This window comes from Homo sapiens, chromosome 20 (assembly GCF_000001405.40).
Source record: "Homo sapiens chromosome 20, GRCh38.p14 Primary Assembly".
Classification (NCBI taxonomy): Eukaryota; Metazoa; Chordata; class Mammalia; order Primates; family Hominidae; genus Homo; species Homo sapiens.
In genome coordinates, this window is record NC_000020.11 from 14,868,402 (window position 1) to 14,889,003 (window position 20,602).

At 38.6% G+C, this 20,602-nt stretch overlaps 1 protein-coding gene and 1 long non-coding RNA gene across 5 annotated transcripts in view; one reads left to right on the forward strand and one right to left on the reverse strand.

The window, feature by feature from the left end:
* MACROD2 (mono-ADP ribosylhydrolase 2) overlaps nucleotides 1-20,602 on the forward strand; it is a 2,057,682-nt gene that overhangs the window by 872,886 nt on the left and 1,164,194 nt on the right. The gene's annotated exons all lie outside the window — the stretch shown is intronic.
* Nucleotides 15,852-20,602, reverse strand: part of MACROD2-AS1 (MACROD2 antisense RNA 1) — a 45,266-nt gene continuing 40,515 nt past the window's right edge. Inside the window, exons 2-3 of one of the 2 annotated variants that reach the window (NR_037841.3) lie at nucleotides 19,695-19,903; nucleotides 15,852-16,193 (exon numbers count right to left, since the gene is read on the reverse strand). This is a non-coding gene — a long non-coding RNA (MACROD2 antisense RNA 1). The remainder of the gene's footprint in view (nucleotides 16,194-19,694; nucleotides 19,904-20,602) is intronic. The other variant, NR_110318.1, reaches the window with a different exon arrangement.

Consider the following 20,602-nt stretch of genomic DNA (forward strand, 5'->3'; position numbering starts at 1 on the left):
ATGATTCTCTCACCTTGGCCTCCCAAAGTGCTGGGATTACAGACATGAGCCACCATGCCTGGCCTCCCATGTCTCCTGTTCCAGATTCTAGTTCCATACTATTGGCCACTACAATAAGAAAATCCTTGTTATTTTATTAAGCAGATGACTTGAGCTTTCAAATTCTATTCCAGCCTAGAGTCTAGGGCCCAACTTTGCATACTGGACTAGAATCATTAAGGTGTTTTCCCTTTTCCCAAATGCAAATGTCTTTACTTTCACAAATGGATCCTCAGTACCATCAGAAAATTTGAAATTGCTGTGTTTTCCTTTCAACATATTACAGATCACATTCTGATAGCTCCTCCTCAACTCAATAAAGTAAACATCATGGTTACAGGCAGTGTGTGGGTGGTATTGGTATGTCGAAAGTGGGTGCAGAATGAGACTGTATGTATTGCCATATTGAACTGGAGAAGCAAAATATGTTAAAGCACCTGGATATCTTTCTTTGCATATCTCTCCTGTGGTTCTTGGTCAAGGACTATCGTTGATACAGGACCAGCTATGTAAGCCGGAGGGCACAGTGCAAAATTAAAATGTGGGGCCCTTGTTCACAAATTATCAGGAACTCCAAAAGATCACAACAGAGCACTAAAAGGTCACAACAGAGCACCAAACCTTGAGTGGCCCTTTCTAAGCACAGGTCCTGTGCAATAGCACAGGTCACATACCCGTGAAGCCAGTCCTGTGTTGATGGTTGTTGTTGAGTGAGATTTTAATACATGTATATTTATAGTCTGAGATGCATTTGACTGCCACCTTTGGAGAAAATATGTGCTAGAGTAGAAAAAATAATTTGAATGGCAGTAACAAAAGATTGGTTGCCTTGAGAAGAACATTCTTTTGTATCCGTTAGAGTTTCATCAGAGAAACAGAAACTTCTCTAGAGTTTAAGTTGGAAGGGGTTTTATATATCAATGAAGTATTTCTAAAACTGTTGGAAGTGTTAGAGGATCAAAGCTCAAGGAAAGCCGTCATTAGCTTTCAGAGACCCTGGAAAGTGTAGGAAACCCACAAAATCATTAGTGATGTCCAGGCTTCCTGCAGTGCTGTGAAAGGTGATTTTCACCAAAGCCGTGGCGCTGCCTATTCCTGCACAGGAGCAATGGGTTGCTGTCAACCTCTCTCCCTCTTTCTTTATCTTGCATAAATCTTCTTGTTGATGAAATTTAAAATGGTAAATAAGCATTTAAGGGGATCTGACTGCTACAGCTAGATGGGAAAGCCAAACCCCTTTTCTCAACAAGGAATAATTTGAAGAAATTGGATTCTTCATTGTTGGTAAAGTAGTATCTGCCATTTGCATAAATATCTAAATTGTAGAGAGCAGCCATTATTAGTTAAAGTAAATGCTACATGCTATAATAGATAAACACTAAAATCTCAATAGCTTAATACAATGAGATTTTATGTCTCGTTCACCTCAAATTTAAAGAGCAGCTGGGAAGACGGCAGTAACTGCACCATACAACCATTCAGGAACCAGGGCTCATGGAGGCTCTGCTATTTTTTAAGCTTTTATTTTAGTTCAGGGGTACATGTGCAAGTTTGTCATATAGGTAGACTTGTATCATGGGAGTTTGCTGTACAGATTATTTTGTCACCCAGGTATTAAGCCTAGTGCCCATTGGTGATTTTTCCTGATCTCTTTCTCTTCTCACACTCTACCCTCCGATATGCCACAGTGTGTGTTGTTTCTCTCTTTGTGTCCATGTATTCTCATCATTTAGCTCCCACTTATAAGTGAGAATATGTGGTATTTATTTTCTGTTCCTGTGTTAGTTTGCTAAGGATAATGGCCTCCAGCTCCATCCATGTCTCTGCAAAGAAAATGGTCTCATTTCTTTATGGCTGCATAGTATTCCATGGTGTATATATGACACATTATCCAGTCTATCATTGATGGGTATCTAGGTTGATTCTGTATCTTTGCTATCATGAATAGTGCTACAATGAACATATGCATGCATGTGTCTTTATGATAGAATGATTTGTATTCCTTTGGGTATATAACCAGTAATAGCACTGCTGAGTCAAAGGGAATTTCTGTCTTTAAGTCTTCGAGGAATCCCCACTCTGTCTTCCACAGTGGTTGAACTAATTTACACTTCCACTAACAGTGTACAAGTCTTCCTTTTTCTCCTCAACCTCACCAGGACCTATTATTTTTTTTTTGACTTTTTAATAATGTCCATCCTGACTGGCATGAGATGTATCTTATTGTGGTTTTAATTTGCATTTCCATAATGATCAGTGATGTTGAGGTTTTTTTCATATGATTGCTGGCCATGTGTATGCTTTCTTTTGAAAAGTGTCTGTTCATGTCCTTGCCCACTTTTTAATGGGGTTGTTTCGTTTATTTCTTGTAAATGTATTTAAGTTCCTTATAGATGCTGGATATTAGACCTTTGTGAGATGCATAGTTAGCAAAAATGTCCTCCCATACTGTAGGTTGTCTGTTCACTTTGTTGATAGATTCCTTTGCTGTGCAGAAGCTCTTTAGTTTAATTAGATCACATTTGTCAATTTTTGCTTTTGTTGCAATTGCTTTTAGTGTCTTCATCATGAAATCTTTGCCCATTCCTATGTCCTGAATGGTACTGGTATACTTGAAAGAGATAGGGGGAATGGAACCAACTTGGAAAACATATTTCAATAGATCAACCATGAGAATTTCCCCAACCTAGCTAGGAAGGCCAACAAATTCAGGAAATGTAGAGAACCCCAGTAAGATACTTCACAAGAACATCATCTCCAAAACACATAATCATCAGCTTCTCCAAGGCAGAAATGAAAGAAAAAAATGTTAAAGGCAGCTAAAGAGAAAGGTTAGGTCACCTATAAAGGGAAGCCCATTAGACTAACAGTGGACCGCTCGGCTGAAACTCAGCATACAAGCCAGAAGAGATTGAGGGCCAATATTTAACGTTCTTGAATAAAAGAAATTCCAACCCAGGATTTCATATATGGCCAAACTCAACTTCATAATTGAAGGAGAAATAAGATCCTTTTCAGACAAGTAAATGCTAAGGGAATTCAGTGTCACCAGACCTACCTTACAGGAGCTCCTGAAGGAAGCACTAAATATGGAAAGGAAAGACTATTATTAGCCATTACAAAAACACACTGAAGTACACAGGCCAGTGACATAATAAAATGACCACATAAACAAGTCTGAAAAATAACCAGCTAACAACATAATGACAGGATCAAATATATACATGTGAATACTAACCTTGAATATAAGTGGGCTAAATACCCCAAATGAAAAGCCACAGAGTGTCAATCTGGATAAAGAAAGAAGATCATAGATATGCTATCTTCAAGAGACCCATCTCACATGCAGTGACACAAACGGGTTCAAAATAAAAGGATGGAGAAAAATCTACCAAGCAAATGGAAAACAGAAAAAAGCTGGAGTTATAATCCCAGTTTCTGACAAAATGGACTTTAAACCAACAAAGATTAAAAAAGACCAAGAAGGGCATTACATAATGGTAAAGGGTTCAATTCAGGAAGAAGATCTAACTATGCTAAATATATATGCACCCGACACAGTAGCACCCAGATTCATAAAGCAAGTTCTTAGAGACCACAGAGATACTTAGAGTCCCACGCAGTAATATTGTGAGACTTTAGCACTCCACTGACAATATTCGACAGATCACTGAGACAAAATTAACAAAGATATTCAGATCTGAACTCATTACTGGATCAAATGAACCTGATAGACATCTACAGAACTCTCCACTCTGCCATTTTCAACTCATGGTTTCTGCAGTTGTTGTGAGCATTGACACTAGTTGGCAGAAAGGGAAAGAGGGAGAGTGGAGGATTTTATGGCAAATTTTTATGGGCTAAACCTCAGAGTGGCACTTGTCACTTTTTCCCACATTGCTATTGCCAAGTTCTGGTCATATGACCCCTTCTAATTGCAGAGGAGGCTAGGAAAATTAGCTACGTGCTCAGGAGGGAAAAAAAGGGTAAACAGCTAGACAGTTTCTCTCACATGATGTCTGACAGGGATCCAGGTTGCCCTTCTACCATTTCAGTAATCAGAGAGTCATCATTCACGAGGGGAAAATGGCTAGTGGTATGAATAGCTTTTGGTATTTTATTAAACCTCTTTGCTTCTAAGTTTCTAGATCTGTAAAATGAGGGTAAGTGCATCTTATAGGATAATTTTGAGGATTTTAGATTTGACACAAGTAAAATGGTTTAGTGTAATACCTGAAAATTAGCAAAAAATATAGGAATATTACCCATTATCATTATTATTTTCATCACTAAGTGACTTAGTTTGTTTTCACACTGTGGTAAAGAACTGTCCGAGAACTGGGTAATTTATAAAGGAAAGGGGTTTAACTGACTCACAGTTCAGTATGGCTGGGGAGGCCTCAGGGAACTTACAATCATGGCTGAAGGGGAAGGGGAAGCAAGGTACCTTCTTTACAAGGCAGCAGGAAGGAGAATGAATGCAGGAGGAACTACCAAACACTTATGAAGCTATCAGATCTCCTGAGAACTCACTCACTATCATGAGAACAGCATAGGGGAAACTGCCCCCAAGATTCAGTTACCTCAACCTGGTCTCCCCCTTGACACATGAAGAATATGGAGATTACAATTCAAGATGAGATTTAGGTGGGAACACAAAGCCTGACAATATCACAAAAACTCTAAGAAAGGGTAGCATATTTGGAAATAAGTTAATATATCAAATGTGCTCAACGCATGCACAGAATGTAGTAAAAGTTCAATACATGTTTTTATCATCTAAACTTATTGAGTCTTCCTGGTATTATACTTACATTTATTATTATGACTTTCTACTCATAAGAACCCCTCAGATAAATTTCATTTTCTTTTATTAGGTTTCTTTTTAGAATATTGTCTGTCTGCAACTACAGTCACTTGGATACATCACTAGGTTTACATGTGTTTTAAGTCGACTTTTGCTAGATGTAGCTTGATCTTTGAGGCTCTGTGTAGGCCTTTATAAATTGCCCTTCATTTGTTTATTGAGAATTGAAATGAAAATGGAATGCTCCAGACTCAGATGATGGGATTTGAGGTGGAAAATCTCATTAATGCATAAACATGTAAATAAATCAGTTGTTTCTAAAAATTTATTCAGGGCCGGGTGCAATGGCTCACACCTGTAATCTCAGCACTTTGGGAAGCCGAGACAGGCAGATCACCTGAGGTCAGGAGTTCAAGACCAGCCTGGCTAACATAAACCCTGTCCCTACTAAAAATACAAAAATTAGCCAGGTGTGGTGGCGGGCCTCTCTAATCCCAGCTACTCAGGAGGCTGATGCAGGAGAATCGCTTGAACCCAGGAGGCAGGGGTTGCAGTGAGCTGAGACTGCGCCATTGCACTCCAGCCTGGGCACCAAGAACAAAACTCTGTCTCAAAATAAATAAGTAAATAAAAATAAAATAATAAAATACAAATTTATTCAGGATAGCATATTAAACATTGATTGATGTTGGTACTTTAACAGATAAGAACTATTTTAATTTTGTGTTCAATTGAGTCAACCCTAATTTGTTTAGAAACTTCTGGAATTGAATGCAATCTGTTAAAAGTAAAGACGTGTTAGGCCAGATAATAATATTGCTTTAAGCTTGCCTATCTCTAACACTTATTAGGAGAATATATTTATATCTGTCTTTTTAAAGTAAGTATTGAAACAGCTTTGTTTAATTCTCTTTTGGTAAGAAAGATTTCTTTCATAACATTTGCATAATTTTTAAAAAAATAATTGTACAAAAATCACAGAACCAGTAAAGAAATATCTGTGACTTGAGGGTCTCAGGAAGGCAGTATCAAATGGAGATTCATTTATTTATTTATTTATTTATTTATTTATTTATTGAGGTGCTGTCCTTTTTTAAGAGTGTATTTGTTCCTCTTTTTGTAAACTGCAGACAACTTGAACTGATGGTGAGGTCTGGTAAGAAAAAAAAAAAAAAAAATTCAAAGCTACCAAGGGAGAAAAGGTGAATTTCATTGGATTACTAAATTCACAAACAAACTTTATAGGTCATCATTGAACATTTTATTTATATTAGAATAAGCAAGCATTGAGCAAGATAGAAATAATTTTGCTTCAGGTTATCATCATTGTGAACTATCACAAGGTATAAGCACAGAAATGACAGAAGTTCTGGCACAGAACAAGGAATTTGCACATGGTCCAATAACATGAACAAAAAAGGTTGTATTTATTTATTTATTTATTTATTTATTTATTTATTTATTTATTTATTTTTGAGACAGAGTCTCACTCTGTTTCCCAGGCTGGAGTGCAGTGGTGCAATCTTGGCTCACTGCAGCCTCCACCTCCTGGGTTCAGATGATCCTCATGCCTCAGCCTTCTGAGTAGCTGGGATTACAGGTGTGCGCCACAACCCCTGGCTAATTTTTGTATTTTTAGTAGAGACAGGGTTTCACCATGTTGACCAGGCTGGTCTCAAACTCCTGGCCTCATATGATCTGCCTGCCTTGGCCTCCCAAAGTGCTGGGATTGCAGGCATGAGCCGCTGCACCTGGCCAAAGTTTCATATTTCTTGTGATGACACTGAATTTTTAGACAAAAGAGATATATTGACTTTGTGTGTTGATGGTTTCAATTTAGAAAAGACTATTTGGGCTGGGCGCAGTGGCTCATGCCTGTAATCCTAGCACTTTGGGAGGCTGAGGTGGGCGGATCACGAGGTCAGGAGTTCGAGACCAGCCTAGCCAACATAGTGAAACCCCATCTCTACTAAAAATACAAAAATTAGCCAGGCGTGGTGGCACGTGCCTGTAGTTCCAACTACTTGGGAGGCTGTGGCAGGAGAATAGCTTTAACCCAGGAGGTAGAAGATGCAGTGAGCCCAGACTGTGCCATTGCACTCCAGCCTTCTAGTCTGGGGGACAGAGTGAGACTCTGTCTCAAAAAAGACTATTTGGGAATTTGTTCATCAAAATTTATGCATCCACTTTATTTTCTCAAAGTTCCTCTTACTGGAAAGCATTTAAGTATTTTGATTCTTTTTAAAAATAATTTCAACTTTTATTTTAGATTTGGGGGGTTCGTTACATGGGCATATTGTGTGATGCTGAGGTTTGGGGTACATATTATCCCATCACCCAAGTAGTGAGCTTAGTACCCAATAGGTAGTTTTTCAGCCTTTACTCTTCTTTTTCTCCCCTCTCTAGTGGTCCCAATGTCTATTATTTCCATCTTTATGTCCATGTGTGCCCAGTGTTTGGCTCACACTTATAAGTTGGAACATGCAGTATTTTGTTTTCTGTTCTTGTGTTCATTCACTTAGGATAATGACCTCTAGTTGCATCCATGTTGCTAAAAAGGATATAATTTTATTCTTTTTCATGGAGGTATAGTATTCCATGATGTATATTTACCACGTTTTGTTTATTCAGTCATCTATTGATGGCCACGTAGATGGATTCCATGTCTTTGCTATTGTGAATAGAACTATGGTGAACTTTTTGGTATAACAATTATTGTCCTCTGGTTATATATCCAGTATTGGGATTGCTGGGTCAAATTGTAGTTCTGTTTTAAATTATTTGAGAAATTTTTAAACTGCTTTCTACAGTTTAGAAATTGATCTAATTTACACTCCCACCAACAAAGTATAAGCATTCTCTTTTCTCCACAGCCTCACCAACTTCTGTTCTGTTTTGACATTTTAGTAATAGTCATTCTGACTGGTGTGAAATGGTATCTCACTGTGGTTTTGATTTGCATTTCTGTAATAATTAGTGAGGGTGATCTTTTTTTCATATTTTTTGGCTGCTTTATGTCTTCTTTTGAGAAATGTCTGTTCATGTCCTCGTTTCACTTTTTAATAGGGTTGTTTTTTGCCTGTTCAGTTGTTTAAGTTACTTATAGATTGTGGATATTAAGTTTTTGTTTAATGCATACTTTGTGAATATTTTCTCCCATTCTGTAGGTTGTCTGTTTACTCTGTTGATAGCCTCTTTTGTTGTGCAGAGGTCTTTAGTTTAATTAGGTCCCACTTGTCAATTTTTGTTTTAGTAGCAATTGCTTTTGAGGACTTAGTCATGAATTCTTTGCCAAAGCCAATATTCAGAATGGTATTACCAAGGTTTTCTTCTAGGACTTATAGTTTGAGGTCTTACACTTAAATCTTTAATCCATCTTGAGTTACTTTTTGTATATGATGAAAGGTGGGAGTCTAGTTTCATTCTTGTGCATATGGCTAGCCACTTATCCCAGCACCATTTATTCGGTAGGGAATCCTTTCTCTTAATGGTTTTTGTCAACTTTGTTGTATGTCAAATGGTTGTAGGTGTGTGGCTGTGTTTCTGGGTTGTCTGTTTTGTTTCACTGGCCTATGCATCTGTTTTTGTACCAGTACCATGCTGTTTTGGTTACTGTGGTCTTACAATATACTTAAAAGTCAGGTAATGTGATGCCTCTGACTTTGTTCTTTTTGCTTAGGATTGCTTTGGCTATTCAGGCTCCTTTTTGGTTTTGTAAGAATTTTAGAATCAGTTTTTCTAATTCTGTGAAAAATGATGTTGATAATTTGTTAGGAATAGCAGTGACTGTGTTTGGGCAGAATGGCCATTTTAAGGATATATACTCTTCCAATCCATGAGCATGGAATGTTTTTCCATCTGTTTGTGTCATCTGTGATTACTTTCAGCAGGCTTTTGTAGTTCTCCTTGTAGGGATCTTTCACATTTTGGTTAGCTATTTTCCTAGGTATTTTATTTTTCAGGTGGCTATTTTAAGTAGGATTACATTCTTGATTTGGCTCTCAGGTTGAATATTATTAGTGTGTAGAAATGCTACTGATTTTTGTGCATTGATTTTATATCCTGAAACTTTGCTAAAGTCATTGTTCAATTCTAGGAGACTTTTGGTGGTGTTTTTAGTGTTTTCTAGGTATAGAATCTTACATCAGTGAAGAGAGACATTTTGACTTTTTTTTCCTATTTGGATGCCTTTTATTTCTTTCTCTTCCCTGATAGCTCTGGCTAGGACTTTCAATACTATGTTGAATAGGAGTGGTGAGAGAGGGCATCCTTGTCTTGTTCCTCTTCTTAAGGGGAATGCTTCCAGCTTTTGCCCATTTAGTGTGACATTGGCTGTGGGTTTGTCATAGATGGCTCTTGTTATTTTGGGGTATGTTCCTTCAATGCCTAGTTTCTTGAGGTTTTTTTGTTTTGTTTTGTTTTGTTTTATCGTGAAGGGATGTTGGATTCTATTGAAAGCTATTTTTGCATCTATTGAGAGGATCATATGGTTTTTGTTTTTAGTTCTGTTTGTGTGGTGAATCACATTTATTCATTTGCATATGTTGTACCACCCTTTCCTCCCTGGAATAAAGCCCATTTGATCATGGTGAATTAACTTTTCTGTATGCTGCTGGATTCAGTTTGCTAGCATTTTGATGAGGATTTTTGTGTCTACGTTCATCAGGGATATTGGCTTGTCGTTTTCTTTTCTCACTGTGTCTTTGCCAGAATTTGGTATCAGAGTGATGCTGGCTCCATAGAAGGAGTTAGGGAAGAGTCCCTTTTCCTCAAGTTTTTAGAATAGTTACACTGGCTCTTCTTTTGTACACAACTTTATAAACATACCTGTAAGCGTAATTTTGCAAAGATCTTTCATTCATCAAAGAGAATTCCTTTGTGAAGTAAAATGGTAAATAGTCTAAGCATCTTGCTTTCAACTTGACTCAGAGCCAAATGTGTGTAAGCATTGAGAGGGTTTGCCATTTTACATTCCTTAGTCTGAAGAAGGGAAGAAAGAGAACATCCTTAAACCCTAAAAATATTACTTGGCCTGTATGGCATTTGTACGCAAAGGTAGAATCTGAGACCTTGCATAAGATTTACTGGAAATGCTACATCTCCATGAAAGACTACATCAAGAGTGTCAAAGCATGATTAGTTGGGGCACATTCATATTTTTTTGTTAGGGAGTCTATGTCCTCTCTTTTATGTATTGTTTGACGTCAGATGCCTTTAAAGTAAAACTATAAGAATTATTAGTCATTTGATGAGAAGTAATAAATGTTATATAGAGAAACATTACAAAATAGAGATAGACTCAGGATAGGGGACCATAGAGCATACAACCATGAACACATATCATTTGCTTAAATTAGTTAAAACACAAAAGCAAAATATTTGAAATAGTCAAAAGAACATTTTCAATTCTACCTAATAATTTATTGGATGAATTCTTTTATTTTTTTAAATAGTTTACTGGCCGAGTTGATAATATGATCTATCCTAGTTATTAACCAGCAGAATTTTAATTTAGTTTTCAAGGTTCTCCATGGTCTAAACTCAACATGCCCTTCCAGGCTCAAATTACACTCTTCCAGTTCAAAGGCCCATCTGAAATGGGCTGCTTCTATTATGTTGCCCAGGCTTTCTTATCTCTAGCTCTTTGCCCTGATACCTTTGTCTTTCTACTTGGAGTACCTATTCTTTCCATCTTTAATACCCCACCTTCATTAAATGACCCTTTCTAATTACTTCCTGCATGCTTCAGCCAGATGTAATCTCTTCTCTCTGATTATCACATAACACTATTTTGTGCTTCTGTGGTTTTCACCTTACTCATCTCTGTTGTACTGACAAATGGACTGTGAGCTCCGTATTTTTTATCTTCACCCTTATGCATTGCGTAATTAAAACCTTGTACACAGTACAGGTTCAGCAAACACACACTGAATAAATTAATAAGTAGGTGAATAGTTTTGTTGTTTACATTCACTAACAACCCATTCTGATTCATGTTTACATGGACAGAAAAAGAATGAGTTGATTATTAACTAAATTTAATGTATGTCATCTGTATACCTAAATTCTTTGGGTTAATATTAAAAAAGTATTCTTCCAAGTTAGCATGAATTTGACCTATCTTTTAGAGTGTTCAGATTGGTTCACTCATGTTGACATTAGTCAGTTTTGAAATTCAGACATAAAGGTATACACATATAGATTTGACATTTGAGATTAACTTACTTTTTTCCAGTTAGATTATGGAAGAGATAAACAATGACTCAGAGGAAAATGGAGAGGCTATAGAGGTGAAATACTGTAATAATGTGGCTAAACTTGCTTGAGAGAAGATGAGACATAAGCCTGCTTTGTTAGTCCTTTCATAGAGAAATGACTCAGCACTGTTAGAGAATATGATGAGGTTACATTGTTCTTTCATCACAAACTGTTGAGTTAATGGTGGCATATATAGAGTATAGCTCTGATTCATAAGACAATTGGTCATTGTGCTTCTCTCTTTTTATTTTTTAAAGCAAATTAGTGCTTTAAAAGAGCATAGTAATCTGGTTCTTTTCATGAAAACTGATGATTAAAAACAAACTACGAAAATAATTTTAAATACACCTGGGTTTCCAAATGGACAGAGGTTGTTGAAAGTCATTTTTAAGTTCCTTCAAAGCTACAAAGTCTATGTGTTTCTCAAATTATCTTTTGCAAATCTTAGTAGGAATTAAACTTGTGCAAATCCAACCCCTGGCTCTTTTTAGCCTCGTGAGAGCAGAGTATGCATCGTGCTTTCGTTTTGGATGAGAAATATACAAACTGTGTGTTGACTGGTGGAAAGCAGAACAATGGATCTCAGCAAATTGTATCATGCCCAGCTCTGACTTGAGACGCAGAATCAATTCATTTTCAGTGTCATGACAGGATCTGAGATAGAAGTGAGTCTCTTGTTGCCATCATGAGAAAAGATACGTATGTCCACAGTTTTGGGGAGAGGGAGCATGGGAGCTGGGTGCTTCACTGCCAACACAGCCTCTGATCACCTGATATGTTACAAAATCAATTTTATCTTCTGCTGCATTTCATGTGACAATTCAAAGAGCAACATTTGTTTTTCTACTCTTTACATTCTCAACTTCCATGGAGGCATAATTGCCATGAGTTAAAGCTAGGAGGAGAGTGATCACTGCACACTGATTTGGATATAAAATCTATGGCCATTTGAAAGGGAAACCTTCAAGAGCCCACGTAATAAATCCCCGAGGAACTTAAGAGAGATGAACTGTACCTAATTGCATCTGACATGGCTAAAACACAGGGACCTCTCTAAAGAGTGTGAGGGCAGGTCCCCAAATCCTCTGCTCAGCACTATTCAAGGTTCAGAAGAATTCATGCATTTAGCTTATCTACAGCTATGTGGCAAAACACCCTTCAGCTGCAGTCAGCCTCCCTCTAATGACCAATGAGGAGAGGCCAAAAATTAAAGTTGTATAATCAGAGATTTTAAAGACAAACTGAAAAGAACTGGTGGAACCGTCTAACTTATGCCTTGGAATGGCATGCATTATTTTGTATATGATTTTGGGCCTCAGAACACAAACACAACTCCCTCCACAAAGGGGATGAGTTTGCTGGGCCAGAGTGGCCTCTTGTTGCTGGGAGCTACTGCCGCCCAGCGTGGGCAGCTGCAATCACAGTGCCCCTATCCCTGCCTGAGTGGTCCTGGAGGGTTGGAGAGCTGCGTGACTCCTCAAGACCTTTGTCACTAGCCTGTGTAATGCCTGTGCATGAGTCCTTGAAAGCAAATCCCCCAATTAGGGCCTACATGGCCTACCCTGAGGAGGGAAGAGGTGCAATACATGTTGCTTTTAACAATTCTTCATCAGGAATGAGAGGATGTTGCAATGGAAAGGAAAATATTAATTCCTGCTAGGCCCTTGTCAGTGGGATCTTCTCCCATTCTCTTCCTGCTGGAATTACAGATCCATAGGTTTTGGAGCCAGTCAGCCTGGGTTCTTTCATGCATTCCCTTCTTCTGGTGGGCTTGACCATACTAGATATCAAATACTGTGACTCAAAGTTCTACCACCTCTGTTGACTTAAAGGTCAAACCTAGAACAAGCCTTGGTCTCTAGGTCTAAGAGGCAAAATAAAAGCTGGTGAACCTTCTTACTGACAAGGCACTTGACTTCCCTGTGCCTCAGACTTCAAATCTATAAAACGAGACTCACTGTTCTTATCTCTGAGGTTTATTGCTTGGAATTGAATGGGGTAATTCATAAATTCCCTAGCCTGGCACCCCACACACGGCCTCTTCAAGAAGTTTCGGGGTAGCTCTCTTGCCAGTCAGCTGAGAAAACCAAGCAGTGAGAAGAGGGTCATATATTGACTTGGTTTTCATGCTGACAGGCTTTGGCATCTCCTCAAGCTTGTCCATACTCTACAGTGGCATTAAGAGAGTAGTGTCCTGCACTTGTGTTTGAGCACTGTGGAACATTCCTCAGGAGTTCTGGCTGAGATGCATGTGCCCCACCTTTTCCCAGAACCAGGGCCCTCTAAGTCTAAGTCAATAAAGGGACCAGGGGAAGTTCCTGGAAATTCTGATCCAATTCAAGTCCCTGCTACCTAGGTTTACCTCTTGCCTGGCCTGTCTCCCCCTAATTTCTCAGGAGTAGACTTCTATTTGTATAGTGTTTATATGGGCCAACATTTGCATATGTTCACGCATGTTATCTTCACAGCAATTCTAAAAAGACAATTAACTCTTGTTATGTCTGTTTATAAAAGAGGAAATTGAGGCACAGAAATGTCAAGTCACATGAACAAATCCCTACAGGAACCATCTTTAATAAGTGTCAAAGTAAGGAGTCAAGCTCAGGCAGTCATGCCCTTATCCCACAAATTTTGAGATTCTGCCATAGCCAGGTTTATGCCTTGCTTCTCACTTGTGATGGACTTTCCAGAGCTTGGCCCAGTCACTGAAACATGGCAAACATTGTCAATATTTGATGAGTAAAGACATGAATGAATGATGCTTTTGCAACTATCCCATTCCCTGTGCACTCACTGAATTTTTCTTCCCCTTTTTATCATCGCAGTGTTTGAAAATTTTACTTCCTTATTTTACTAGATATATCTTTGTCTTTACATGTGTCATCTCTCAACCAGATGTAAAAGGTACTTCCCTGAAGGGAAGAAGCATGTTTTATACCTGTTATGTAACCTCCGTAAGAATAGCTGAATACTCAGTTTGTGACACACAAAAACCCTAAAATAACTATCTAAATAGATTGGGAAGTTGGGTTGTTGAGATACAGAAGATTTACTCTTCTTCCCAACTCATCCCTTCTCTTTGCTCCTTCCAATAAAATGCTATTTGGTTGAATAGTTTAAAGATGGAAAACCATTTAAGGTTAAAACAGATGAATAAGATCATTCTAAAGAAGCAGAAAGGCGTTCAGACCGTTAAGTTGAATAGATCAGAGTACGGCATTGATTCTGGCTGTAAGATTTCAGGTCACCAAAGGAAATATGTTGGATTGCATTATCTCCATTTTTTTTAAAAATAAAGTTTAGATCGCTCCCTGAAGATAAAATTACTCTTGGAACTATATTCAAGAAGGACTTAAGTATGTAGACCTTATGTAACAGATGTAAGAAACAATTCCACCAATGCTGATATTATGGAGACACCAACATGCCCTCTTACATAAGCCATAAAAGTGGTGAGAATGGCCACATTTTTGTGATGGGGTGTTTGGAATTAATTCATCTTCATGAAACAGAGGCCACATCATATTCTTGGTCATGAGTAATGATGGTAATACTGTTTCTCTTTCCTTTGAATCACTTACCTATCCATTGACCTAACATGTTTTAAATACCACAAAGGAGTAAGATTCTCTCTCATGTCTTTGGGTAGAGAAATATGCAACAACCCATTTCCTAAAAAGTCTGTAATTACATGTGGGAAATGCTGGTAATTAATAGCCTGAATGGGTGATTCTAAGTTAGATTCATGAAAAACCAAGAGACATATCTAACCTTTCTTAAGCTCCAGGGCACATGCATAATTTGAACATTATGTCTACAATGTGGGTGTATTTTCTTCCTTTTCAATGAAGACAGTGATTAGGATGATAATAGAAATAATACTTGGGTTTATAGAGCCTTTAGCTGAAGTCTACCTACATGGTTTCTGGCTCTGTGGTAAGCATGTCGGACTAATGTCAGCTTTTGAAGTGAATTTTTCATGCCTTTTTCCCTCTGGGCTTCCCCTTTCTCTAATAAAACTACTTTAATCCCATTCACATTCCAGTTCTGAATACTAGCACTTGAAATGAACTGTCTATATCTGACTCACTTAAAAAAAAAAGTAGTTTAAATAAAAACAAAGAGTTGTTTACTTTCCTTTCCTACCTGGCTGCATCTGTCACATGCATATAGTGTCCCCTGACATGAAGCTCTGATATTGATCTGGAGCCTTATTGATCTCCAACTTAATATAGGGACAATGTCTACCAATAACTTAGGCACTTCCAGAGAGGCTCACTCTGTCTTCTTTTGTTCACTTACAAAATGAAAAGAATGTCTTTACTAGAGTACCTATTAAAGGGTTCCAGTACACCCTACCACAAGCTCAACTTTGGAATCTGATAAAATATTTTTTAAGCAAGCTTCTGGTTTTGTTATATTAATTTGGGATTGGATTCCCTCCAGTGGTTCAAACAAAATGAAAGTATGATCTTTAAGTATGTAATATATTCTGTCAGTTCTCTGGTTAGTTTGGATCAGAATTAACTCCTTTCAGGATCATCCCAAAATAACAGTGTAACCCCATAGTAAAGCACACTCTCTTCTTTCCTGTGATATCCCATGGAGTAGGAATAATTAGGCAACCACAACTGCTTAACCCTGTGTGGTTTCACACAGAAAAATCATGACAATTTCTCTTCTTGTTGACTCTTTCTCATTTTTCTGGTTATCCATAGCTTTTAACAACAAACCACCCTAAAAGTTATTGGCTTAAAACAATTGCAATTATTTATTTGGTTCACAAATCTGCAGTTTGGGCAGGGCTCAGCAGAAAAGGCTTGACTGTGCTCCAGGTGGTGTGAGCTGTGGTGGCTCAAGTGGGCTGAAGTATCTATTTTCAAGATATCTTACCAACATGGCTGGTGCTGGCTGTTTCCTGGGAACTCTACTGGGTCTGTTGTATGGGGTCATTGATTCTTTGGATCCAAGATACCACAGCTAGAAACTGCCACTCTTTTTCAGTCTGGTACAGCATCACTTCTGCGATATTTTGTTGGACAAAGAAGTCACAAATTCTGCCCAAATTTAAGAGGAAGGGACATAGGACCTGTAAAGCAAAATAAAATGTTAAGCCCCCAACCAACTAAATGGATCCCCCTCACAACCAAGAGCATTCCAAAGTTAACCTGAAACATGAGTTCAGGCCATGATGGGAATGGATAGTCAGACATGCCTCATTATACCATCCTCCCTTTGGAATTGAGGCACAACTGACCAGCGTTAATATTGAAACAGAAACGTTAAAACAATCTGTTCTCTCTGAAGCCTGGAGGCTTCATCTGTGTAATAAAAACCTTGGTCTCCACAACCCTTTACTTTAACCCAGACACTCCCTTCTATTCATTCCAGGTATTTATCAAGAGCCCATCTAATTGCCAGTCAGAAAATCTTTGAATCCACCTATGACCTGAAAGCACTGATCCCCTACTGACCCAACTTCCATTTGTCCTGCCTTTCCAGGACATGGAACATACATCTTAATGTCAAAGGCATGTCCTTAACCTTGGCAAAGCAAACTTCTAAACTGATTGAGAACTGTCTCAGATACTTTTTGGTTTACAAACCCTACCTGTCATTGAGAGGAGTGTCAAAAAATTGGGCCATGTTTATACTACATGCTCTTTAATTAATATCTGTCTGATACTACTAATATCTGATACTATAGTTACCCAAGCCAGAAACTCAGTCATCACCTTTGACCCTTTCTTCTCTCTTATCTTTCTCTTCTTGACCCACCCTAGAAATACATGTAATCTTTATTGCATATAATTAATAATTCTGTGACTTAATCAGATATTATTGTATCATATACATAAATACCAATTACAAAGTCTTCTAATTGACCCTAGAATCTTCTGCTTCTCTTGAGTGCCATCACCTCTACTCTGGTACACACATCATCCCTCCTCTACCTACTAGCCAGTCTCTCTGCCTCCAGCCTTACCCCTTTTTACTCTAGTCATGATGATTTTATTTTTAGTTAGAAAGAATAACTGTCCTCTGATTATAATTTCTCAAACATCCTCTATTGCTGTAAGAGTAAAGTGCAAATTTGTTTGCCTGGCTTCCAAGGCCCTGCAGGATGGGGTCCCAGCCTCCTTCACTAGCCACACCTTGTTATCTCCTATTGAACCTTTGGCCCTTAGCCTTCAGCTTTACCAAAATCTTGATGTACTCCAAATCTCTTCCTTTGAAATGCTCTTTCCTGTTCCTCTTCCTTCTTACCATCCTCCATTCCCTTTGCTGGGATAATTCAGTCGCATTCTTTAGATTTCAAGTTAGTTTTCAATTGCTCACTTCCTCTGGGAAGAATTTTATGACCCTTCATTCATTTATTCATTCACAGAGTATTCATTGAGTATCTACAATGTGCCAGGCACTGTTCCAGGCCCTGGAGATACTACAGTGAGCAAAATAAATAAAAGAGCCTTTTGTCATGGGATTTATCCTTCTCATGGAAAAGTCAGGCAATAAACAAGAAAATAGGTAAATTACATAGTATGTTAGATAATGATAACAGCTGAGCACAAATAAATGTGAAGCAGGATGGGCAATATAAAATGTTGGAGGGTGGGGATGTTGCAGTTTTGGCAAAATCCAGGTAAGGCCCCACTGGGCAGGTGTCATAAAGTCAAGGCTTGATTGAAGTGAGGGGTCTAGCTATGAGGCTGTCTGGGAGAATACTATTCCAGATAGAGGAAACAGCAAGTGCAAAGGCCCTGAGATAGGTATGGGCCACTGTGTTTAAGGCGTGGAAGGGCCAGAGTGGCTGGAGTGAACTAAGAGGAAAGCAGAAGAAGAGAAGATGAGGTCAGATAGGTGATGGAGCCCTGCTCGCAGAAAGTCCTGTTGGTTGCTGTAAGGACTTTGGCTTTGGTCATAAGTAAGGTGGGAAGGAAGCATTGGGAAAGTTTGAGAAGAGGAGTGACCTGCTCTGGTTTATCATTTAAGGGATCCCCTTCACATCCCAAATCCTCCCACATTAGCCCCTTCTCCCATCATTTAGCTTTTTACCTGTGCTATAACTTGGTTCTATCCCTTACTAGTATCTCATTTCTGGGAGGAGAGGACTCTGTCCAACTTGTTAGTGTTTTATTCCCTCCATCTAGCCCAATGTCCAGGAACCATAGGGTATCAATAAGTATGATTGCATTGAAATAATGAGTAAATGAAAGCCAGCTCCCGTGCTAATCTTTAACTTTTTAATTACTACAACTTCTTTATATTGGTTGTAGTAAACCCAAAATACAAATGAGGAAATGAAGTAAGAACAGAAAGTGACAGAGAGAGAAAATGGGAAGAGAAGAAATAAAATTCTTGGAGCCATCATGGCAGCCTTCTTTAAGCTAAGAAACCCAGGTTCTCATTCCGACATTGGCGTCTCTAGTGGGGAATTTTAGGGCTGTCTGTGGGACCACAAGATGATCATACACTTCTCTGAAAATAAATGTTCATAGTGAATGCTTTTTTGATTTTTGGCAGAGGATGGGAGGCACTTCCATTTTGGCCCATTATGAGAATAACAAGACAAAATAGCCATATCATAGTATATTTATTACAAAAATTCATGTCCTACCTGGCTGTATGTGTGCATACATGTGTGCATGTGTGTCTGCAAAGGCTTCATACTAGTCCACATGTATTTATCAGTGTGGACTCTATGCTGAACTAATGCTAGGGATGGAGATGTCCTGCCCTCAATGGACTCAACAGGGGCTACACAAATCAAGAGCGGTATAGTGAGTAATATGGTGAGGAAATAAATACCTCTTCTAAGAAGCAAATAGACTTGAATATATTAGATAGAAAAATATACTAATGCCTGCACTGAATATGTGATTAGCTTTTTTTGTTTTTTTTTTTTTTTGACTGTCTCACTCTGTAACCCAGGCTCAAGTGCAGTGGCATGATGTCGGCTCAGTGCAACCTCTGCCTCTAAGGGTCAAGTGATCCTCCTGCCTCAGCCTCCTGGGTAGCTGGGAGTACAGGCACACCCAGCTAATTCTTGTATTTTATTTTTTGTGGAGACGGCGTTTCACCATGTTGCCCAGGCTGGTCTCAAACTCCTGTGTTCAAGCAATCCATCCACCTCAGCCTCCCAGAGTGCTGAGATTACAGATGTGAGCCACCGTGGCTGGCCATGTTGAGCATTTCTTGAAAAATAGCAGAAACAATTGCTTCCTTACCAAAATGGTATTTTTCATTTTTGGTTTAATGGGTAAGACTGGAGAAGGAGACACTTGGCCACTATTTGGAGTATCACAATTGGACTTGTCTCGTGATGTCACAAAATATTCAAACTGGAAGAAAAGCATTAAAAAAAAAAAAAAACCTGTGTTCAGCTCTTTTGTTTAAACTATAAAGAAAAATGTGGCCCAAAGAGACTGGGTGTTGCCAAAAATTGCACATAGGAAGAACAGAGAGGGAAAACCAGGCCTCTGAGCCTGGGACCAGTCACATGATGACATTTTGTTACCTAAGTCAAAAAGAGAATGACAGTCTTCTCCACAGGAGTACTTTGGGATTAGTTAGTGGGTGGTCTCATTACCCATAAGCCCCTGCCTTTATTGGTTGGTTTTTTCTCACTCCATCTAGACACGCTGTTATCAGTCCTGGAGCCTGAGTACACTGTGATGGCTTCATGTTGTCAGCTGCGTTTTCTCATGCCCTACACTGCAGACTGAAAAAGGATGCTCCACAGCCAGCTTTAACACCATGCACCAAGCCTGCCACAGCCATCCTCTCTTCTGCTCCAAGCTGCTGAGAGACAGGAAATGGAGGTTCTGAGTTTTGAGGCTTGCAGGGTTTGTCTGCACTGCATTCAGCTTGCCAGTCCCCAGGAGAGCTGGCATGCTGCTTCAGATCCAGAAAGAAAAGGAGAGTGCCAATCAGATATATACACTTCTGTAAATCTCCAGTTAGTTCCAGAGCTGTCATTTGCCTGTAGAAATTTTACCACGTTTACATGACTGACCCAGACAGCAAGAGCTAGTGATGCCCCTCTGTTGTAACTACATGGCCAGAGGGACATGCAACCCAATTAAATAAAATTAATTTTAAGCACACATCCTGATTTGGAGAAGCATTTGGACAATAACATAGTGTCAGTGTGAGTCACTTATCCTAAACAGTTTTATTGTTGTGACCCTGATTTGGACATCGCTATGGTTGCTGTGCATGATAAACTTGAACCATGTTTTGCGCTTAAGTTTTAAAGAACTGTAATTTAAAACATGTATAACAAAACAATCTATGAATAAATGAGATCTTTCCAAATTAGATATCTCCTTTGGTAGCATGATGAGTAATTCTTTCCAGTATCATAACATTGAGGGTCTCTGAGAGTCTCCTTATTAAATAATAATCCTTCTTCATAGAGGGTTTTGCATGAATTTTGGGAGAAAAGCTATTTACCTACTTAATCTTAAACAAAAGGCATCACTTCCCTGCTTTCTG